The following is a 17809-nucleotide window of genomic DNA, read 5'->3' on the forward strand; positions in this document are numbered from 1 at the left end:
CATGATCAATCTGAAAAACGGGAAGAGATTTATTTTGACTCCACGGAACTCTGGTTTCTCTGCCTCCTCCCTGACCACCATATTGGTTGAGCCCCTCCTCCTTGCCAGCCATAAGTGTCAGAACTGGAGATGCTGACATGAACAACAAGCCATCCCTGGCTTCTATCTGCTAGGTTTAGAAAAACCAACATGTAATCAAATCATTGCAGTGCAGTGGGGTGATAGAATAGGGTTGGATGAGGAGATTTCACCTTTTGATTCATAGATTACTGTCCAGTCAGCAAGCAGGGTTTATTACTGCCACAACCACACCCACCTCCAACCTTCCTACAAAACACACTTGTTTGCTTCCATATTTAATTAACATTTTAATTAAGCCTCATCTCCTATCTCTGCTAACATTTTCTCATTTGTAAAGCAGTTAAAGCTGTTTATTTCCAACACACTTTTGTTTCCTTTGGTATGAGGAAAGCAGTATAAAAACTATGCATCTACTTTTTAAAAACCCTAATCTGCTTGTATTTCCATAGGTTAAAGCAACAATGAGATTTATGGTGTTGAACATGGATTGGGACTCAATAAATAATTGCTTTTTTCTTTTTAATTTTTTTTTTACTTTTGGAAGTCTGTCTCTGAAAATGGTGTGTATGTGTGTGTCACACACATACACATATACACACACACATAAATAGAACTTGTAACCCAATCCTAAGAAAGAGAATGCACTGCATACAAGATTTCAAAAACGGAAAAGTTACAAAAGATTGATTGATAAACCAACCACTCTTTACATGCATGGTATATACTGAAACTCAGAAATTCTAATACTAATAAGAAGCAATTGTTCAAAAAGCAGTTGGCTATTAGTTTTCAATCTTTGTTAGTCGGTTTGAATAACATTCAGAGATATTGGTCCTCTGAAAGATGTTATGAAACTTTAGTGAGGATTGGTGATGTTTTTCCCACTGAGGACACCAAAAGTAAGTTCAGGGACTCTCTGACATAGACAGCACTCTGGCCCAGGAAGTCTGCCCCGGCCCCAAGGCAGTGTCCATTGTTCACAATGCCCACCTCATCACCACTGGCACCAAATGTCATCTCTGGAGAGATGCTCCAGGCCACTCTTCTTTTTGAAGAAGCTGAGGCTTCTCAGAGCTAAGGCTGGGAAAACTTTAGCCATCTCCTCAAGCAGGCTACCAGGTTAGGAGCCAGCCCATAAGCCTTTGAGATTTAGGAGACAAAACTGGGGCGGCTTGCCCTTCTCCTTTTCTCATCGGCAAAATAACTCAAAAAAATCACAATAAAACATAATGTGGTTACCCTTTTCTTTGGAAATATTGTCTTAGAATAATGAAAAAATGCTCAAAAAACAAAAGCCAGCAGCCTATTGAAATCATGTGGGTGCAGTGTCCATGGCCCACTGCCTGTTGCAGAGCATTCTGCGGTCTCTGGGAAGATAAAGATCTGCGATGGCTATTATGTATTATGTCACAATTACACGCAAGAGAGAAAGTCCACATTACCACACAGTGTGATGATTTTTAATTGTTTTCCCTAAAACAGACTAACACTCTTACAAATACTCTTTTCCCCTGGGTGTTGCTGCTTAAGTGCTCGCTTTATGTAGAAGAGTCTATTGTTCCCTTTCTCATAGTAAGAGCAGAGCCTTCTGGAAACTAAGGCATTGAGAAGTTCTAAAAGATTTTTATCTTTATATTTAGGAAATTAGGTTCATTTTGTAGTCTATAGATCAGGGTCAGTTTCTTCTCATTGGCTTTAAAGAATAGTTTCCTGTTTTGAGTTTCTTTACTTTTTTAAGTTTCAATAGTTATACAATAGGTAATAACATTTGCAAAGTCTTTATCTACTTTAAAATTTTAAAAACCAACTCAGTACCTATCAGTTATGCCATGTCTGCTTCTAGGAAGAAGCTGCAGAAGCTAACAACAAAGCCCCATTATAAAAAGAATAAGAGATTAGCAGTGAATTGAAAGCACGGGGGAGAAAAATAGTTAAACAAAAATGTAAAATAGTGGTTTTCTTTGAGCAGAAAGCTTGGCACCCAGCTTTCTTAATAAAAAGGAGACATAATAGATCTTGGTAAGTTGTAAATGTACTTTTTTTTTTGCTACATTCTAAAGTTGGGCTATCCCAATAAAAAACGTTACTTCTTCTATTGGACAGGCTAGGATTTAAGTGCTTGTATGTCACGGTCAGGGTTATAACAACTTCTGTGCAGGCTGATCAATTTGAATGGTGAATATTAGTCAAAATCAATCTGTTTTGAACCAATAAACAAGGAGCAAGATCGTGAGGAACATTTCTTTGCATGAAATCATCCCTGTCAGTGTGAAACATAAGGGTCAAAAAATTCAGAAAATCATTATGAGGTTCACATATTTTATTGAATTACCATTCTTTGACATCAGATCTTTACCAGACATTAACATTTCAATGTTATGCTTTTCCCCAGTGCTACCAGTGGTTGAAAGAAAGAATTGTAAGTGAAGAAGGGAGAAAACAGCAAAACAAGCTAAAAGACCTTTCCCCAATTGCGGAGCGTCTGGGATGCACACTACCTCAGCTAGCTGTTGGTAAGAAAATTACTAAGCTATGGGGTGGTAGAGGGACTTCTGCTGAGATCATAGTTTTCTATTGCTGACCACACCCTTACCATGATAAAATGTCTATTGCAGGGACAGATGATCTCTGAAGCATAAACTCCTGCTAAATATAAAGTGAGTTATTTGAGGTTCCCCAGAATTTTCTACATGATAGCAAATTTTTCTTACTTCTTTCTCCTTGCTCTTATAACATAGTTTAAATGAGAACATGTCAGTGATAACATACACTATCACAGATGTCAGGGGTGAACTGTGTAGTGACATCCATTTCTTCTGGCTCAAATTTCTGTCTGTTGAAAACTAAACCAGGGTTGGTGAGAAGATGAGATACAGGGCTGTGACAGGCCCAAGGCTACTGCCACATGAAAAGCTGATCCTAGAGAAATAGCTTCACCCTGAAAGTTCTTGAAGGCCATAAACGTTGTTCTTCTAATGCTGTGGAGTCCATGAAAGGTCATGATTGCTGGTAACAATTGAAAACCACACGCGGCTGGGCACGGTGGCTCATGCCTGTAATCCCAGCACTTTGGGAGGCCAAGGTGGGCGGATCATGAGGTCAGGAGATCGAGACCATCCTGGCTAACACAGTGAAACCCCGTCTCTACTAAAAACACCAAAAATTAGCCGGGCGTGGTGGTGGGTGCCTGTAGTCCCAGCTACTTGGGAGGCTGAGGCAGGAGAATGGCGTGAACCCGAGTGGCGGAGCTTGCAGTAAGCCCAGATTGCGTCACTGCACTCCAGCCTGCGTGACAGAGCAAGACTCCATCTCAAAAAAAAAAAAAAAAAAAAAAAAAAAAAAGAAAACCCCAAACCACATCCACTGTTTGAGAGAAAGATAATATGAACCACATTCAATCATGGGTGTCTCAGTCAACGACGGACAACATATATGTAGGTGATCCCATAAGATTATAATGGAGCTGAAAAATTGCTATTGCCTAGTGATGTTGTGGTTATCCTAAGGTCCGAGTGCAATGAATTACTTGTGTGTTTGTGGTGATGCTGGTATAATAAACAAGCCTACTGCACTGCCAGTAATATAAAAGTCTAGCACACACAATCATGTACAGTACATAATACTTGATAATGATAATAAATGACCATGTTACTGGTTTATGTATTTACTATACTATACTTTTCATCTTTACTTTAGAGTGTTACTCCTTCTTACTAGGAAAAAAAAAAAGTTAACTGTAAAACAGCCTTATGCAGGCCCTTCAGGAGGTATTCCCCAAAGAGGAATTATTATCACAGGAGATGACAGCTCCATGTGTTTTACTGCCCCTGAAGACTTCCCAGAGGAACAAGATGTGGAGGTGGAACATAGTGATGGTCCTGACCCTGTGTAGGCCAAGGCTAATGAGTGTGTCTGTGTCTTAGTTTTTAACAAAAAAAAAAAAGTTTAAAAAGCTAAAAAAACACTTTTTAAAAATAGAAAAAAAGCTTATAACAATATAAAGAAAATACTTTTGTACAGCTGTACAATGTGTTTGTGTTTTAAGCTATGTTATTACAAATAAGTTCAAAGGTTTTTTTGTTTGTTTGTTTTTTGTTTTGAGACGCAGTCTCGCTCTGTCGCCCAGGCTGGAGTGCAGTGGCGCGATCTCGGCTCACTGCAACCTCCGTCTCCCAGGTTCAAGCGATTCTCCTGCCTCAGCCTCCTGAGTAGCTGGGATTACAGGTGTGCACCACCAAGCCTGGCTAATTTTTGTATTTTTAGTAGCGAAGGGGTTTCACCATGTTGGTCAGGCTGGTCTCTAACTCCTGACCTCGTGATCCGCCTGCCTTGGCCGCCTAAAGTGCTGGGATTACAGGCATGAGCCACTGTGCCCAACCAAAAGCTTTTTTAAATTAAAAGTTTATAAAGTAAAAATGTTACAGTTAGCTAATGTTAATTTATTATTGAAGAAAGAAAAATCTTAAAAATAAATTTAGTGTAGCCTAAGTGCACAGTGTTTACAAAGTCTATGGTAGTGTACAAGAATGTCCCAGGCCTTCACATTCACTCACCACTCACTCACTGACTCACCCAAAGCACCTCCCAGTCCTGCAAGCTCCAGTCATGGTAAGTGCCCTACACAGGTATACCATTTTATACCATATTTTTACCATACCTTTTCTATGTTTAGATACACAACACCATGTGTTACAGCCGCCTATAGTATTCAGTACAGTAACATGCTGTACAGATTTGGAACCTAGGAGCAATAGGCTATCCCATATAGCCTAGATGTGCAGTAGGCTATACCAACTAGGTTTGCATAAGTACCCTATGATGTTCACACAATGAGGAAAACGCCTAACAATGCATTTCTCAGAACGTGTCCCTGTCGCTATGGGATGCATAACTGTATCTTATTTTAAATTTTCTAGTGACCACATTAAAACATTAAAGTGAAACATGTGAAATTAATTTTAATAATGGATTTTCTTTAACCCAATATAGCCAAAATATTATCATTCCAACATGTAATAAATATTAAAAATTGAGATATTTTACTTTGTTTTCTACAAATCTTCAAAATCCAGCATATATTTTACACCTAGAGCAAGCACATTCCAATTCAGGCTAGACACACGTTGCATGCTCAATAGCCACGTGCTGCCAAAGGCTACACACTGGGCAGAAAAGCCCTGAGACTTCTGGTTCCCTTACTAGGGGATATTTGTCAGGTTCTATAGTAAGCACCTCAGGCTCACTCTCACTGTCTTGTCTCCTTCATCACCATAACAATCCGCGGAGGTCTATACTATTACTAGTCATATCTTACCGATGCTAGTGGAGGATTTTCTATTACTATCTCCACTTATAAATGAAGAAATGAGATAAAAGAATTCATGTGGTAGCTATGAGAAAGGAATAAAATGGGTGCTGATTCTAGACAAAAAAAAAAAAATCCTAAAGATTAAGAAATAGCAGGAATTGGGACATATCAGAAACACTAACCCAATGAGATAAAAAGCTCAAGATAAGGTCTATGCAAATAAAATAATTTAATAGAATATTTGTTGGTAGCTTGACTCTTCAGAGGTTGGAAGGCAGAGAAATGTTAGTTGCAATTAGCAGTCATAGAAAGATAGAAATGGGAGGTGATTTTAGAGGGGGGAAAATGCCATGTACCGTAGTATATGTATGACTGGTGCTTTAATCCTTTCTTCAAAAAATAAAATAAAATCAAACAATGTATTTAATGTTATTACTTAGCAACTCTACAGCTTTAACAAGCACAGTAAAACATATTAGCTATTTGACCACAGGCAAGTTACTTAACCTGGTAACAATTTTCTCATCTGTAAAATGGGTATAATAATACATATCTTACAAACTAGTTGAGTAAAGGGAAATTATATATATAAAGCAAAAAGTAGGTGCTCAGTGAGTGCTAATAAAGATGATAATGTTCTTGCAGAGAGTAGACATGCAAAACTTGAAATTCTGTCTGCTCTTAGCCATGGCAAGCAATCAGAGTAATATGCAGAGAAACATATTCTGCACAATCATATATGGTTTTTAGATAGTAACATGAAGTATTAAACTTAGCCCTGAAAGACAGGAAAGAACACTCTCTTTCTACAGAGGAAATCTTTACAAGATTTAGACTCTTACTAGATATTAGATATACATGAAATGCCTTCTTTACAGGATCTGAGTTTAAATTAAAACATGCTTTTTTTCCCCTTTTCCTCCTGTCCTCTCAGATGTCTTTCTCACCTGTCACTTCTTTCTTTGTAAATAAATAATTTTGTTTATAGCCACAAAACTCTCAGAATCAAAAGGGAAATTATTTCCAGGCACGTTATCTTTGATCTGCTAGGAGAGTGTGGGAGAGGGATCCTCCGGCAGAAAGCAAACTACTTGAACCCAACTGTGTGCCTGCTCCCCAAGTCACACAGGTATACTGGAGCCAGCATTCATACTTTGTTCTTAGTGAACAGGCACTCTGGACATACTTGCTAGTGACACTTGGTTAGAGGTGCTAATTATCCAGAATCAGCTGCAGTTGCTACCATGGAAGTAACCAGCTCTGCCCAGTGGGTTCTCCTGTGCCCTACAGGCCCATTAGGGGAATCAGCTGTTGGTGACCTCGAGTAGTCAGGTAGTTTATGGGCAATAATTTACCTAGAACCTGCTTTGTCCTCAGAACTACCTTTAAGGCCAAAAATAGTTCTCAGTGCAAAGCAGCAAATAATGCAGTCAAAAAAAAAAAAAAGAGAGAGAAAGATTGGATTGGTACTTTTATACAGCACTATTTTGTATTTTGCCCATGTGGAAATTCAGTGATTACCATAAAAGGCCTGGACACGGTAACAGCTTAAGAGTATCAGTTGACAATATGGCTGTCCAAATGGGGGCAGAAGATGTGCTTGGGGACATCCATCAATCATCCATGCCTATGTTTATTCAACAAACATTTAATAAGTTCCTACTTTGTGCAAGACACTGGGCTGGTGGCTGAGCATCCAACTGCAAATAAGGCATACCTCACAGCCTGGTGGGCAAGTCAAGAAAATAAACAGATAATTTTAATACAGGTCATCATATTAAGAAGGGAACAGGGGATAAGGGAATTAGAGTAGGAGCTTGGAATTCAGGGAAGTACTTTAGGAGCAGGCAATACCTTTGGGGAATCTCAAATGACAGGCAAATATTAGTGAGGCAAAAAGAAAGGGGAAGGCAAAAGGACATTCCAGGCAAAAGGAACAGCTTGAGCAATGTGCCCCAGAATGAAGGGAGAGGAAGAGGAGAAAAGCAGCAAGATGCTTGGAGATGGAGAGGATTTAAAGACAGGTGAGTGCTCCTGAAGCACAAAGTTCAAGGTAGGGAGCCATGAAGCTGCAGAGGTAGGCTAGAAAATAAGGTTTGCCAAGGTAAGAATTAAGAACCTCATCTTACAGGACAATGAGTTATGTCAGGCACTAGCTAGGGAAGTGATATGATCAGATTTGTGTTTAGAGAGACTGCTGCTGGCTGGATGAGAGCTGTATGGGGGAAATATAAGGGGACAATTCAAGCAAGAGGTAGGAAAACCAGTTATCCAGGAGAGAGATGGTGAGGGCCTGAGTGAGGGCAGCAGTGACTGAGGAGGAGAAGACAGCTGAACCGGAGAAGACAGCTGAACCAAAGCAGTCATTGTCAAACTGAGCCCTGTATCCACACAATGGAATACTCTTTAGCAACAAAAAGAAATGGTATACGGGTACATAGTGCAACACGGAAAAACCTAGAAAACATATGCTAAGTGAAAACCAGACACAAACGACCACCTATTGTATGATTCCATTTAGATGAAATGTCCAGAAAAGACAAATCTGGAGACAAAAAGTAGATCAGTGGCTGCCTGGTACTTGAGGTAGGGATCTTATTAGGGTGATGGAAATGTTATAAAACTGCATTAAAAATGGTGAAGGTTGCACCTTAAAAATGATGGTTGGTAAATTTATAAAAATTATTTAATGTACACCTAAAATGGGTAAAATTTTTGATGTATAAATTTTACCTCAATAAAGTTGGTTAAAAAAAAAAAAAGAGCATGGTCCCAGATAGCAGCATCAGCATAAGCATTACCTAGGAGTGTGTTAAAAATGCACAGACTGCACCCCAGACCTGAATCAGAAACTCAGCGGGTGAGCCATAACAATGGGTGTTTCACAGGCCCTCTGGATGATTCTGATGCATACCAAAGTTTGAAAACCACTTGATTAGAGGAATATTTAGGAGGAATAATCAACTGGACTTAGCAGTTAAAAGGGAAAAGGGGGTCAGAACAGGACAGTTCTTAAAGAGTACTCCCAGGTTTCCAGATTGGGGAGCCACATTGCTGGTGATGCCCCCAAATGTGATTGGGAATGCAAGAAGGCCAGGCATTATAGCAAGAAGTTTGCGGTGCTGGTGGGGCATCTAGCAGGAAGGCCCAGCAGACACTGCATCTATGAGTCCAGCAACACTGAGTTCCAGGCAGCTAAGGACTCAGAAGTCCACTGTAATCACCAGCAGGCTCCTGGGGACCTTAGCTTCTGGACACAGCAAGAAGGTGACTGGGATGTGAAGAAGATCAGTAAGGGAATCTGGACTGACCTTTTAGAAGTTTAAGAGGGGAAGAAGGTTGGGGCAGTATCTAAGCAGGTAAAAAGGGTCAGAGGAAGCCTATTCTAGAATGGGAGAAATTTTAGCATGTTTTGTTGACAGAAAGACACAGTAAGAAATTTTGAAATGGGGTGATGGGGGCGGTGGGATCATGTATGAATCAAGTCCAAGAAAAGGCAAAAAGGAGATATCTCCAAGGCAGAGTTTGGTCTTGGACAGAAACCGCACACATCCTCTTCTGAAACTGGAGGATATGGATGTGGATGCTTATGCAGCAGGAGAGTGGGGAATTAAGGAATATTCCAATGGAGGGACTTGATTTTCTATAGACATTAGGACAAGGTCATCTACTAAGAGTGAGGGGGCAGGGGTTGATGGGATGGTTTAAGAGTACAGGTTTAAGGTCATTTTCGGGAAAAGAAAGATGACCAAGGGCAAGAGTGAGGCTGGCCAGGCTGGCTAAAGCCAGCTGGGAGGGAAGACGTGAACGCATAGGGGCACCAGACCATGAACTGTGAGATTCTCTCTAGCACGCTCAGCTACCCTGAAGTAGAAGCCAAAAACGCAGATGCAGCACTGATGGGGATTTGCTAAGGAAGCAGAAGAAGTGAGGGGTGTGAGGGTTCATAAGAGAGTAATTTAGATCATCAACACAGGATGAATCTTGGGTTAGGAAGAAAGGGAGGTCCAGAGAGGGCTGCCAGGTAGGTGGGAACCAAGGAACCAGAAACCTAGAGTCTACAAGAGTTCCAAGCAACAGATGTGGAAAATGAGACCATGAATACAGTGGAAAGACAGGAGGTTGTGGGCCAAGGTAGAAACAGGAATCCAGCCATCTGCTGGTGAGCAGTGTTAGGTGTTTCCAGGAACAATGTGTTTCTAGGGTGGGTAGCTTGAATGCCCTGGTTGAGGTGACAGGGCCTTATGTGGAAAGCAAAAAGGCCTTAAGCCCCGAGCCAACCCAAATGCATTGAGTGTTAATTAAGAGACATATAGTAGGCTAGCAATTGGAAAACCAGCGGAGAAGCAAGAAAGACAGCAGTGCATCTGTGTTTTCTGCTTCTACTTGAGGGCAGCTGAGCGTGCTGGAGAGAATCTTACAATCCATTGTCCAGCGCCTCTATGCATTTGCATTTCCCCTCCCAGCTGGGCTTTGACAGATTCTGTCAAATCTTCTACACAACAGGGGGTGCTGCTCAGGTTTTTAATCCTAGGAAGCACTGTACATCCTCCACAAAAAGAAGTTAATAAATTTTGGCTGCAACAAACAGCTGTAGCAGGTGTTTATAAGCTAATCAACGATTGGAAGTGCTTTGATAAACTGACCCAGTGTCCTCTCCTCCCAGCGTGGTGCCTGAGAAATGAAGGTGTGAGTTCTGTGCTCCTGGGATCATCCACTCCTGAACAACTCATTGAAAACCTTGGTGCCATTCAGGCAAGTACTGCAGCCCCTTCCAACATCAGGGAATTTAATGGTGCCTTTGAGGCTATCTCCAGGCAGTGTCCCATCTCTCCCCCTCTCTGTCCTGGGTGGGGCAAGAGTAGGGGGAACAAAGGCAACAGAACACTTTCCCAGTACATGGATCCAGGGTTGTCCTCTGCCTATGAACAGGCAGTATTCCCAAAGCTCATTTCTTGGGATGGTTTGTTTCTGTGGAAGAGTGCATTGCAGTGTTATACGTGGCAACTGACTTCCCAGGCCTCGCCATAAAAGCCGGCCTGATAACTTGCTTGGAAATTTAAGTCATAGGACAATATACATACATCATTTACTTGTTTGTTCTTTCCACAAATATTGCCCACCTGCTGTGTGCTGAGCCCCTTCTTGCTGTTCCCTGAACATCTTGTATTCCCCCTCCCATGATCTTTTATGATAATGTAGTATAACTGCCTGTCTCTCCTGTTGGACTGCAAGCCCTCTGAGGTCAGACCTGTGTCTTTGCTTTTCCACGGTTTTCCAGTTCCTAGGGTACTTACTACATGTCCCTTAGTTAACACTCAAGATCTATTGAATAAATATTTGCCATGTTTTAAGAGAAATGGGCTCAAAATTCTATTTTGGACTTCCAGGATCACATCTCCCTAGAAGCAAATTTAGGAGGCCCATCCCCATTCCCTATCCCATGAGATGGCCACTGGTCCAGGGCACTAGATGGGGCCTGCAGCCATATTCTGGGGAGCCTGTAGTGGCAGTGGGTGGGTTGAAAGGATGTTCCTGGGAGCTCTAACTAGAGGGGTGGAGTTTAGTATCTATTGTGACCACCTCCTTTCCCCAAAGGCCACAACTAGTCCTGAGCCTATCCTACTCTCAACCCTGCTAAAAGCCCTAGGAACGATCCTGCCCACAATTCCTGCCATAGCCACTACCTGGTAAGGTTATCTATTTTTCTCTTGCTCATGGAGGAAAAGAACTGTCTCACAGCTTCTTCCCTATCTACCTGTCCCTGCAACAAGCACACAGCCCTGTTACCATTCCCAAAAGGAAACAGGTGGAGGTAGCAACAAACATGATTTAAAATCTTTTTTAAAAATAGCCCAGAATACACTGTGGAATAAATGGTATAGATCCCTGCCCATTCCCCCAACCTTTCTTAGGACTGTGCAGCCGTGTAATCACCTCTGCCTCTCTGCTTCTAACAACTCCCATATCCAGCCCCATAACTCCTACTGGATTCTGTGAGGTTCCCTGTAGCTACGTGAGGAATTCTCCCTCTTATGTTCATTTATGCTCTGGGAAAAGATAAGGGTACACAGTGATGAGGGGACAGAACAGTTTGTACAAAAAAGAACTGAAATTCAATCCAATGATTTCAGTTTCACTAATATTTATGGAGCACTTATTCTATGCCTGGCATCGTGCTAGGCAGTGGGAGGACTGAGATGAGTAAGAACAGGACCTGGCCTTCAAAGAGCTCATGTGCTGGCTGAGAAACAGTGAATTAAAATATCTATCCCTTAATTCATTCAACAGATCTTTGAGAGCCTATTGTATACCAGGTACTGGAGATAACACAGGAAAGAAGAAAAACACTGTCTAACCTTCAAGGGATGTTTTACGTGCCAGTAGGAGAGACAGATAAATAGCAAAATGATTTCAGGTTATGAAAAGGGCTATTAAGTAAATAAATGTTTATTTTACTGAGACTGAGAAATGGGTGAGCCTACATTAAATGTTTTTGCAAAAAGCCCCTCTGGAATATGTTTATTCCGAGGGCTTCATGTGCCTTCATTTTTTACATTCTTTGACAACCATTCACAAGTCTTCACACAGCATGTGAAGAGTCCAGGAAAGTGCATTCCAGGGACAGGGAAGAGCAGTGGAAAGGCCCTGAGATGGGAAAGACCTTGACTTTTCCCAGGAACTGCCAGCTAAGGCCAATGTGGTCAACACGTAGTTGAGCACAGGGACAGCAGATGCACTGACGTGGAGAGACAGGCAGGGCCAGGTCTCGCAGGACACCATGGGGTTAGAGTTCATGCTACATGTAACAAGTCCTTGTGGAGGGTTTTAAGAGGAGGGACATGCTCCTATTTGAATGTCTGAAGGTCACTCTGGCTGCCATGCATAAAGTAGAATGAAGGGCAAGGGCAGTCATCCAGGCAGGAGGCGATGGTGGCTTGAATGAGGGTAGTGGCCATGGAGGGGGAGAGAAATGGATGGATTCTGCAGGTTTGGGAAAGAGAGACACCATGGCTTGGCAGAAGAGGGAGGAATTGAGGATTTTTATCATGCTAATACAGGGAGATCACTGCCATTCCTGGGGGCAGTCATAGTGCCTAGGGATGGCATATGAGGCAAGTCTAGGGCTGAGTTTTAAAAGCTGTGGAAATAGGCAAGGCAGCTGACAGGGAAGGGGACACATTTCAGAGGAAAACTCTTGAGTAATTTTTCTTCCCAAAACATTTCCTCCCTAGCAAGGCTTTGGCTGGCAGCAGGATGAGGCTTTGCCTATCCTAAAGGGGACATTATCCATGCAGCAAGACTGCTACCATTGCGGGCTTACCAATCCTCCCCTGTTCTACTTCACCTCCCCCATACCCAGCACTAAAGTCCACCCAAGACGAGTTGTGATTGGGCCCCACAACATGGTGAAAAGCAGACTGGGTGACTAGGGGTGCCCAGCAGTGGTGGCACTGGCTGCAAAAGGATGGAAAATACGGAGCACCAGCAGTTGTAAGAAAATATTTCTAGTAGGCTGGGAAGGCAGCTGCTTCAAGGGATGCCACGTGCCTAAGATGTGCAGGAACGAAGGGGCGTATATAAATCAGAGCCTGACAGATGGGAGAGACAGGAGGAGAAACCACAGCTGCAGGCAGCCCACCTTCACCTGCACAGGTTCCATCCTCCCCACTCCCACCTAAAAGGTGGGAGAACCGCCTCTCCCCCTCCTCCCCACATGCCTTAAAACCCTTCTGAGGCTTCCCATCACCCATCAGAGAAGGCCAGGCTCCACAGCAGTCGGGCCTCATCACTCCCCACCACACCTTCCTGGAATCTGAATCTTGAGCCGCTCTCAACCACTCAGAGCTTCGGCGATAACAGTGGCCCTCTGCCTACAAACTGACCACTATCCCAGCCTAGCAAAATCCTACTCCATCCCCAAGTTCCAGATCAATAGGAACCCAATCCTGGGAGGACTTTACTAATGCCCAGCCAGCCCCAGCAACATTAGCCAGACCTCCCCCAACCCACCACCTATCCCAGGCAGTGTAACATCAAGTTTGCAAAACTAGTAGCCTGTGGGGTGTTTGTAAAATCTGTAGTAGTTTACAATGTTTCAAAGTGGGGCTTCTCTTGAAAATTCTGGTCTTGTGATACTATGTCTTGTTTTATTCGAGTACTTTTATGGTTTCATTTTTTTAATGTTTAAATCTCTTTCCTATAGAGATTTGCTTTGGTGTAATGAATGAAGGATTCTTCTCCTCACGTGGCTAACCCGCTGTATTTTAGACAAAAAAAAAAATCCAACAAATCCAGTTTCTAGGTTTTTGGTCTCATTGTTACAATCTCATTTTAAATAACACATTAGCTGTTTGGACACTGAAATTCCAGAGCTAGTGGGAAACCAAATTCTTCCTTCAGCTTCAGACAGTAAAACATTAACCAGAATGAAGTTTCCCAGGCTGGCAGCTCTATTTTGCCAAACCCTAAGGCTTCTGAGGATAGCACTTGACTGGAGACAAGGTCACCTTGGCCAGCAGGATTGCAACAAAGGAAGAATGAGGTTGAAACCTCAGAATTGGTCGTCAGAATTGTATTTCACCACAGTCTCCACACAGGGTCAGACTTTTCCAGTGAGAAAGTCTGCCTTTGTCCCTTGTCTTATGGTGTAATGTGTACCCTTGGCCCACTTCTCACAGTAAATGCTAGCCTTGGATGAGCTCATCCTTTCCCGGGGCTTCAGTCAGCATGTCGGTGCAAATGACTCACAAACCCTCAACTCCAGTCCTCCGGCAGCTACTAAGCTCCACAGCTGCACTTGCAGCTGCTCAGTCACTCCTAGGTGGATATTCCACAGGCACTTTACACTCAACACATCCTATTCTCTCCCAACTTCTTATTCCCCAAACTACTTCTCCTTTGGTTTCTAATCTCAATAATCAATACCAATATACTTCTAGTTACTCAGTCTTGAAACCACCATCTTCCCCCAAAATGTCTCTCAGGTCCACTTTTCTGCTCCACTGCCCTAGTTAAGGCCCTATTGCCTGGCTTGGATTGTAATACATATCTAATATCTGTGTCCCCTTTCCACCTCCTCCAGCTCATCCTTCAAACTACCTCCAGGTGTCTGATAGGGTTACTCCTAGATCAGAAGTCCTGACAGGTTCCCCACTGCCTAAAGTGGGGACTCCATAAAATGGCATTCAAGGCTTTCCACACTCTTATCCCATTCTTACCATCCGTATCCTGTTCTTAGCATCCCCACACCTACACCAATCACTGTATACTATCACTCCAGTTCACTTTTCCATGCTATTCCATCTACCTGGGATGCCTGTTAAACCCCAGCCATCCTTCACCAGGGATAAGACCACCAGTCAGAATAAATCTCTCCTTAGTCTCTAGACCTGTGCTGTGTACTACTATGGTTCTAGCCACATGTGGCTATTGTATGCGGGAAAGATGGTGAGTCCAAACAGAGATGTGCTTTAAGTGTAACATGTTCACAAGATGTGACTTAGTACCAAAAACAACTGTCAAGTATCTTTTCTATATTGATTACATGTTGAAATAATGTTTTGGATATAATGAAGTAAAAACATGTATTAATTTCACTGTTCTTTTTAAGGTATCTAATAGAAAATTTTAAATTACAAATGTGGCTTGCATTATATTTCTGTTGGATAGAGCTGCTCTGTATTTCTATGAGCCTTCACTTATGCCTTTATGCCTTCATTTATGCAGTCAATCAACAAGGCCCCTGACCTCAAGGAGCTTACAATGTGATGGTGTTGGGGGCGGGGGGCTTAGATTTCAGCTGTGGTTTATGAAGATATATGATTCTAGATTACTTTGCTAAATATAGAGCACAAAAAACCGAATGATCAACACTGCTAACAATATCCTTTGTACTTCTCCTCCTGCTCTCAGGTTCTCCCAAAGATGACATCACATGTGGTAAATGAGATTGATAACATACTGCGCAACAAGCCCTACAGCAAGAAGGACTATAGATCATAAGGCAATGCATGAACCACAGAAGCTGCATGGTTAAAATAGCGGCCTGTGCCCAGTACAGAAAGGTGTTACTAACCAGTCTTTTGAATCACTTAGCAGCTTGCTGCTCAACCTCTAGTGTCCCTCCCTGGATTCTTTGAGGTGTCTGCTGTCGCTACCACTGTGCACATCTGAAAACTCACAACCAAGAAAATCCATTCTATTTTCTTATCTTGGACTGGAGTCACCTATTCTTGCATTGCTGTATACACCTCATGCTTATGCAATGGGAAGAATATGGGGGCCAGGGGGTGTGGTACTACCTTCAGGCATTTGGTAACTCAAAGAAGGCTGTACAGATATATTTTTTCAAAAGAACAAAATCCACAGATGCAATGTGAGTTGCGTAAGAAACAGAGTAGATAGACTAAATTCAGTGAAGGAAAGGAATTGAGAGATTTTTCTTAGTAAATAGATTATTGTTAAGTAAATAGTTATTAAAAATATATCTCACTGCAAAAAAAAAAAAGCAGTATCTTCACTCAAAAGTCTTGCTTGGAAGAATAAGCAGAAATAATTTTATATATTTTTTTTCTATTTTCACATTCATACTAACAAGTTTTGTTCCATTTGTTATTCAATAAAACAAAAATTTCTAGGTATTTGCTTTATTACCTTTCAAATATTTACTGTTGCTTGGCCCCAAGAATGGCCTTGTACAACTTATCCAGAATGTCTATTAGGATTCTAATGTTATGTCCACTTACAAGTAGAGACAGTAAAAGGATGAATACCCAATCTTTAGTGACAATGCAGCTGATTTATGAAAGAGAGGGCTACACTGCTATGGAAACTTAGCTTCAAAGAAAATGCAATGTATCTGCAATTAGGTGTTCATTTTTTACTACATTTTATTAAAACCTGCTTTATACTTTCAACTGCTTGTAGGCACAACTTCTGCAAGTTTAAATATTTGAGCTTTACAAATAAACATACACATGCTCAGTTTTTTAAGTAAACCTGTAAAATACCCAGGAAGGCAAATGTTCATTGTTTAATTAGCACTGGGATTTTATAATATAATGTTTGGTATTTTTGAGGCATTGTTAACATGAAAGTCAACCACTGGCTTTGTGAAAAATGCTATGTCACTATTCAGAATATGCTGGGTAAATTGACTTGCCTAGTGAAAAGCAAAATGTTAAAGAAAGAACTTCTGGTTCTATAATCATATTATATGCACTAAACTATATGCATGAAAGTTCTTTGCATGGATTAATGGGGCTTACCCTTGTTGCACTCGAAATCTGAGGTGTATCTAGCCCTGCCACTATTGGCTACTTACCCTCATTAATATCCCACTTGAGAAAAATTGTGAGACTATACTGTGTCAATATCTGTAAAAAGAGAGAAAACATGTTTTGTTTTTTTTTGAAGGGGGTGGTGTGGGAGTGGCCCTTTAACTCTATTTGGCTATCTGAGGATGTACAAAATTCTCATTTAATTTTCTGGTCAGCAAGTTCCCCACACAGAAATCACTCTGAGGTTTACAGAAGAACTGTAATATTATTTTAAAATGCGATTTTTCTGTCATTAGTTCTAGATATGTACTTCATGGTTAAATTCTAAATCTGAAAATGCTAGTGGGAGATATCAAGAAATTTTCTTTTTGATTACTAGTACCTGTATTCTAACAGAGAGTTTGAATTTTTTGCCCGTGTTATCAGAATGATGGAAATTGATCATTTTCAGTTGTTCATTGTGTATTCAATCCAGCGAACTGCTGTATGTATAGAGGAGCTGAGGTGCTGTCTAATGGGAAATGTGATTTGATTGATTTATTTGCTTAGAGTAATAAAAGCATTTTGTGCATTCAATCTTACAATAGATTTTATCTGATCTTTCACTGTAAGGCTTATGTGTATTTTCCATATATGTAAAACATACACATGTAAAATATATGTGGCCATAAATTAGGCAATAATCATCTAAATAAAAATTATATTGGCAGCTAAGCTGCACTGAATACTCAACAGAAATAGTAGTGATCAAAAGTCTGAGATTTAAATTGCAATCCAAACATATTCTATCATCAATCAATCAATGGAGATTAACTACTGAAGATACCATTTCTCACTGGGTTTTAGAACACTCCGCACTAAGGTTAAGGCTTCACAAATTCACTTTTAAAAACTTACTTGCAAATCAAAACCAAATATAAATATTATGGCTTAGCTGTGGGAACAGCCAGTTTTTTATATGCGAATCTGTCATGGTAAATATACTAATGTATTTCACAGTTAGTTAGTTAGTTAGTTATGTCCTTAAGAAAAAATTCCACGCACTCTTATTATTTTCTTTTCTCTTCCAAAAAGAATTCCCTGGCAGAGAATCTATCATTCCAAAAGGTAACCTGGGTACCAGCCATCCCTATATGGA

The 17809-nt window shown here is 41.2% G+C and overlaps 1 protein-coding gene across 10 annotated transcripts in view, besides 1 other annotated feature; it reads left to right on the forward strand.

Moving 5' to 3' along the window:
- KCNAB1 (potassium voltage-gated channel subfamily A regulatory beta subunit 1) overlaps positions 1–17785 on the forward strand; it is a 420928-nt gene extending 403143 nt beyond the window's left edge. For 7 of the 10 annotated variants that reach the window (XM_017007171.3, NM_003471.3, NM_172159.3 and 4 more), the window contains 3 exons: positions 2474–2594; positions 10056–10144; positions 15305–17785. In XM_017007171.3, the coding sequence (XP_016862660.1) occupies positions 2474–2594; positions 10056–10144; positions 15305–15394 (300 nt within the window). In that variant the 3' untranslated portion in view covers positions 15395–17785. The remainder of the gene's footprint in view (positions 1–2473; positions 2595–10055; positions 10145–15304) is intronic. The other 3 variants (NM_001308217.1, NM_001308222.1, NM_172160.3) reach the window with 2 other exon arrangements.
- Positions 12385–12884: an enhancer, noted in NCBI's record as "H3K4me1 hESC enhancer chr3:156251527-156252026 (GRCh37/hg19 assembly coordinates)". NCBI's record gives its function as "activates a minimal SCP1, AML or CMV promoter by ChIP-STARR-seq in primed H9 embryonic stem cells {active_cell/tissue: H9 hESC(primed)}" and the evidence as "EXISTENCE:reporter gene assay evidence [ECO:0000049][PMID:30033119]".

Source organism: Homo sapiens, chromosome 3, assembly GCF_000001405.40.
Source record: "Homo sapiens chromosome 3, GRCh38.p14 Primary Assembly".
Taxonomy (NCBI): domain Eukaryota; kingdom Metazoa; phylum Chordata; class Mammalia; order Primates; family Hominidae; genus Homo; species Homo sapiens.